General features: G+C 35.7%; 1 annotated feature.

The window, feature by feature from the left end:
* Nucleotides 3,236-4,435: an enhancer, noted in NCBI's record as "P300/CBP strongly-dependent group 1 enhancer chr7:103904410-103905609 (GRCh37/hg19 assembly coordinates)". NCBI's record gives its function as "activates an origin of replication core promoter dependent on BRD2, BRD4, P300/CBP, MED14 and CDK7 cofactors, with strong dependence on P300/CBP, by STARR-seq in HCT116 cells {active_cell/tissue: HCT116}" and the evidence as "EXISTENCE:reporter gene assay evidence [ECO:0000049][PMID:35650434]".

Genomic DNA, 6,067 nt, shown 5'->3' with positions numbered 1-6,067 from the left:
AGACTTGTCTTGAACTCCTGGGCTCAAACGATCCTCCTGCCTCGACCTCCCAAAATGTTGAGCTACCACCCCTAACCCCCAGCTATCTTTTAACTCATTGTTTTAAGGGCCTTTATTTCGTTAAAATGCCCCCTGGGCAAATCAAACCTACAGAAGGAATTTTTTGCACAATGAGTTTTTTCACTTGATTTGGTGCATAGAAAACCATAAGATCAAATACAAGTTAGAATGGAAGCTCATTAATGGAAATAAGCAGTTTACTCCATCCAGTCAAAATAGTAATTAACTACCTCCTTCAATTCTGTATTTTGCTTTGTTTTTTGAGACCTTGCTCCTGGATGTCCTCTATCCAAGAAAGTAGCTTATAGGTTTATTTCTTGTTAACCAAATATTCCCACACTACTAATCTTTGCATTTTCTATGATAACCTGTAGATGGCACCCTAGTTGGTGCTCCCATTTTTTCCTAAGTTCATGCAATTCTGATAAGACTATGTGATGTACAATTTAGATAAAAGGCATTTGAGATAAGTCAAATGCAACATGTAAGTAAATGGATTAATTTTTTCTGGTGCAAACTCTCATTTTATTTAGGCCAACATAATTACAACTTTATAACATGATTTCAGACTATAATGACATTACTGTGCTAATCCTGAGGAAGTCAATTGAATTGTATATAGTAGCTGTAACTATCAGTAATATTTTATAGCTATATGATGGTTGTTATGAATACTAAATTGCCACTATCAATGGTTCCTGGACTCCTACCATTTATTCGCTATTCCTTTGACTTTACAATGAATGTCTAAACTGAAATTGACTTATTATTTTCTATGCAAAGCAATTTTAAAAAATACTTTAAAAATATTTTGGATTACTCTAATTCTCTCTTCCCATTTTTAATGAATGAAAATAGTAGAAGTAGATTATTTTGGAATTAAAGCCTATTTTTACCCTTCTATTACTCATATTTCAGCTAGTCCTTATCCATACACATAGAATATATTACTTTCTGGCTGTTCTAAATGAAGAAAAAATTGTAAAGAAAAAACCTTAGTGGGTAAGAGAGTTAACCCATAAAGAAATGAATCAGAAAAGTCTGAATAGTTAGGTAAATTTTAGAATAAAATAACTGTATTTAAAATCAATAGCTAAGCATGATCTTGAATAAGACCTGTTCAACAATATTTAGTGAGCATTCTTTATAGTATTACTGCATATACAAACAATATATCCCAACTATGACAATACTTTTTTCATCAAAAACTTTATTCCAAGAGTAGAAATAAAAGAAGTAAACAAATGTATTCTTGAAGGTAAGACAAGGTGAAGGCTATAAATTAAATACATTTTAAAATATCCAAAGTAATAACAAATACACAAGGAAACTTGGAGTATAGGATAGGATGAGAGGAAACACAGACTTAAGGTACGGAATATAGGATAATGGTCTAAACTATGTTTGGTCTGAGAAAATAGGAGACAGAGAATCAGGGGAGGATATGCAGAAAAAGGCCAATGTAGCAGACCTGTTTCAGGATGGGTTCTAGGACTAAAAATAATCACACGGAGTTCTGGTTTTAGCCCCAACATGTAAAGAACTTTGAAGTCATCACCTCAATCCTCACAACATGAAAAAGGCTAAATAAACTGAAAGATAACAATTTTTCTTAGACCATTAGAGAACTGAAATCATACAGCAAACTGACACCTAAAGTCTGGAAAGTGGCAAAACAGCCAAGATCTGCTTGTGTGGAATAGGATCTCTTGGGACCATAAACTTGTAGGAACATTGAAATGGTCATTTTGACAAATTTCTGGAGACTGAGTATGAATTAATTTGAGCTTGAGAAACTCCTGGGGGGTGATATTAGGATGGGCTTCTACACTTTTGTGGGTTTTATTTCCAGGAACTCCATGAGGTTCACAAGTGAAGGTCTGAGAAAAATCCTCTCCTGTTTCAGAAGGCGAAAGGGGAAAGGTAACCATTTTCTAAAACACCCAAAACATGACCACAGCTCAAGCATTCTCCAAGACAAAGACCTGCTTATCCAAGGGAATAAATTTCGCCAGGGTCTTATCTCCCTGAGGAAGGGCAGTTGCCTAACTTGCAGCCCCATCTGGCCTTCCAGTCTCACCTAAGTGGAGAAGAAAAGGAGAAGAAACACTTCTGAATGTCACAGCCCAAGGACTCAGATCCACAAAAAGACTGAGATTTAATCACAAGATTATAGACCACTTTCTCTCCCCTACATTTTGTCACTATATCAACAGGGCTCCAAAATAATAACAGTGGATTACAAGTGAAAGAAATGCATGACACAAACTCTATTTAAGAAGTAGAAAAGAATTCAAGGACAACAAGGGAGGAAATAAAAAAAGACGAGGACAAGAGGAAACTGAAGGCTTTAGCACCTACCACTACAGAAAACATTAAACACAGCCCAGCTCCTAGTCAGGCCTATGTAGCTGATACATCATGTCTGGATTTCAAAAAAAAAGTACAGGCACTCTAAAAGGTAAGAAAGAAACACAATCTAAAGAGACAATGCAAGCATCAGCACCAGACTTACATATGATATATTTTGGAATTATGAGATAGAAAATTTAAAATAACTATTATTAGTATGTTAAGGGTTCTAGTGGAGAATACGCAGGAATAGATGGATAATGTAAGCAAAGAGATGGAAATGCTAAGAAACAATCAAAAGAATAAAAAACACTGTAACAGAAGAACACTTCTAATGGTTTTACAATAAGACTAGACGTGGCCAACCAAAGAATCAATAAGACTGAAGATATGCCAACAGAATCCTCCTAAACTGAAATACAAGGAGAAAAAAGAATGGAAAAACCAGAACAGAGTATCCAATAACTGTGGGACAATTACAAAAGGTGTAATATATGTGTAGTTGAAATATTGGAAGGAAAAGAAAGAGAGAAAGGAGCAGAAGAAACATTTGAAGTACCAATGGTTGAAAATTTTCTAAAATTAGCAGACACCAAGCCACAGATCCAAATGGCTCACAGAACATCAGGCAGGATAGGATCAATGACAAAATAACAACAACATCATCAACAACATCACCATCAACAACAACAACAAAAATACCCTAAGCATATTATATTTAAACTACAGAAAAACAAAGAGAAAACCTTCAAAGAGGCCAGAGGGGAAGGAGAAACACTTTAGCTGTAGAGGAACAGGGATAAGAATTACATTGGCTTTCTCAAGAGAAATCATGAAACAAGGGAAGAGTGGGGTGCAATATTCAGTGGTGAAAGAACAAAAGCATCAACCTAGAGTTCTATATCCAGTGAAATTATCCTTCAAAAGTGAAGGAGAAATAAAGAATTTCTCAGACTAACATAAACTGAGGAAATTTGTCACAAGTAAACCTTCTCCGCAGGAAATTGTGAAGGAAGTTATTCAGAGAAATGGAAAATTATGTAGGCTAGAAACTCAGATCTACATAAAGGAAGGAAGAGCACATCAGAGAAGAATGAATGAAAACAACATAATATCTTTTACTTTCATTCTTAATTGATCTAATAGAGATAGCTGTTTACCAAAATAATAATAGTAACAATGTATTGTATGACTATAGAGTAATTACTCTATGGGTTCTTCTTGCCTGCTGCCCAGAAAAGCCAAACGCTGAGAACAGCAGAACTTGCAGTAGAGAAAGTTTAATAATCTCAGCACCAGCCAAGTAGAAGGATGGGAATGTTTCTCTGCCTTCTCAAGAGCTCAGACGCTAGGGTTTTTCAGGATAATTTGATGGGCAGGGGGCTAGGGAATGGGTGCTGCTGATTGGTTGGGGATGAAATCATAGTAGTGTTGAAAACGGTCTTGTGCACTGAGTCAGTTTCTGAGTGTGATCCCAGGACCAGTTGAGTCAGTTCCTTGATATGAGTCATGGATCTGGGTGGAGTCAGCTAGTTGTCAGAATACAAAAGTGTGAAATATCTCAAAGACCAATCCTAGGTTTTACAATAGTGATATTATTTGTAGGAGCAGTTGGAGAGAATACACATCTTGTGACTTCTGGCTACACGACTCTTGAGCAGTAAGTGATTATAGAAAAGCAAGCTAAAGAATAATGGCTGGTTATTTTTTAACTGGGCATACACTTTAGCAGAATTCAGGCCCTTCCCATAATCCTAAACTTGTTGCCTTTCATTAGTCTTACAAAAGGAGTTTCAGTCCCCACAGGGTCAGCTTTGTGAGGTAATATCATTTTTGCTTCAAAGTTAAACTACAAACTTAATTCTTTCCAGAGCAAGGCCTACATCCAGGAATGAGCAACAGCTGTTAGCTTGTGAGGTTAGCAGCAAGATGAAGTCAGTTAGGTTAGATTTCTTTCACTCCTATAATTCTTGCAAAGGCAGTTTCAATAGCATATGGTTACACGAAACGAATAGCAGCAATGTGAGAAGGGAGGAATTGGGACTCTGTTGTCAGGTACCTGCACTAGCCATAAAGTATTATTTGAAAGTGGACTAAGATTAGTTCTAAATATATATTTCACCAACTTTAGGGCATCCTCTAAAAAGTTTTTAAAAAGAAAAATAGTTGATATGCTAAGAGAGAAAAACAGTGGAATTATATAAAATGCTGGGCAAAACCAGAGAAGGCAGAAAAAGAGGAGAGAGGAGAAGATTTTAAAATGAATCTAGATATAGATCTTATACTTTTCACAAAACTAACTCAAAATAGATCATAAATGTAAAACACAAAACTACAAATGTAAAACACAAAACTACCATACTTCTAGATGTTAACATAGAAGAAAATCTATGTGACCTTGGATTTGGTGATGAGTTTTTAGATATGAAAGAAAAAATTGGGAAGTTAGACTTCACTAAAATTAAAAACTTCACTCTGTAAAAGACATGGTTAAAGAATGAAAAGTTTATCCACAAATAAGAAAATGAACAACATTATTTTAAAATGGCCAAAAGATCTGTACGATTATCTCACCAAAGAAGACACACAGACAATAAATAAGCATATGAAAAGATGCTTCACATCATATATCATCAGAGAAATGCAAATTAAAACAATAACAAAATGCCATTCCATGCCAATTAGAATGCCCCAAATCTGAAACATTGACAACACCAAATGCTGATAAGGATGTGGAGCAACAGGAACTCTCCTTCATTGCTGATGGGAATGCAAAGTGCTACAGCCACTTTGGAAGATAATTTGGTGGTTTCTTACAAATCAAAACATACTCTTAGCATACAATTTAGCAATTGTACTCCTTGTAATTCACCTAAATGAGTTTAAAACTTATGTCCACACAAAAACCTGCACGAGAATGTTTATAACAGCTTTATTCATAATTGCCAAAACTTAGAAGCAACTGCAATGTTCCTCAGAAGGTGAACAGATAAACTGTGGTATATCCAGACAATGAAATATTATTCAGTGTTAAAAAGAAATGAGCTAGTAAGTCAATGGAAAGATATAAAGGAATGTTAAAAGTACATTATTTAGTGAAAGAAGGCAATCTGAAAAGGCTACAGACTGCATTATCTCAACTATATGAAACTCTGAAAAAGGCAAAACTATGGAAATAGTAAAAAGTTCAGTGATTGCCAAAGGTTGCAGGGAGAGAGGGATGAATAGGAGCAACATAGGGAAGTTTTAGAGCAGTGAAACCATTCTGTATGATGCTCTTGGTAGATACATTGTATTATATATTTGTCTCAGCCCACAGAATATACAACACCAAGAGTGAACTCTAATGTAAACTAAGGACTTTGGATAATAATGATGTATCAGTGTAGCTTCATCAATTGTAACAAAAGTACCAATTTGACATGGGATGTTGATAGTGGGGGAGGTTGACAGTAGGGGATGGGGATGTATGATAACTCTCTACTTTCTGCTCAATGTTTCTGTGAACCTAAAACTGTTCTAAAAAATAAAGTCTGGCCGGGTACGGTGGCTCATGCCTGTAATCCCAGCAATTTGGGAGGCCAAGGAGGGTGGATCACTTGAGGTCAGGAGTTTGAGACCAACCTGACCAATATGGTGAAACCTCATTTCTACT

The sequence above is a fragment of the Homo sapiens genome, chromosome 7, assembly GCF_000001405.40.
Source record: "Homo sapiens chromosome 7, GRCh38.p14 Primary Assembly".
In the NCBI taxonomy this organism is placed as follows: Eukaryota; Metazoa; Chordata; class Mammalia; order Primates; family Hominidae; genus Homo; species Homo sapiens.
This window is presented reverse-complemented; position numbering and strand designations above follow the sequence as displayed.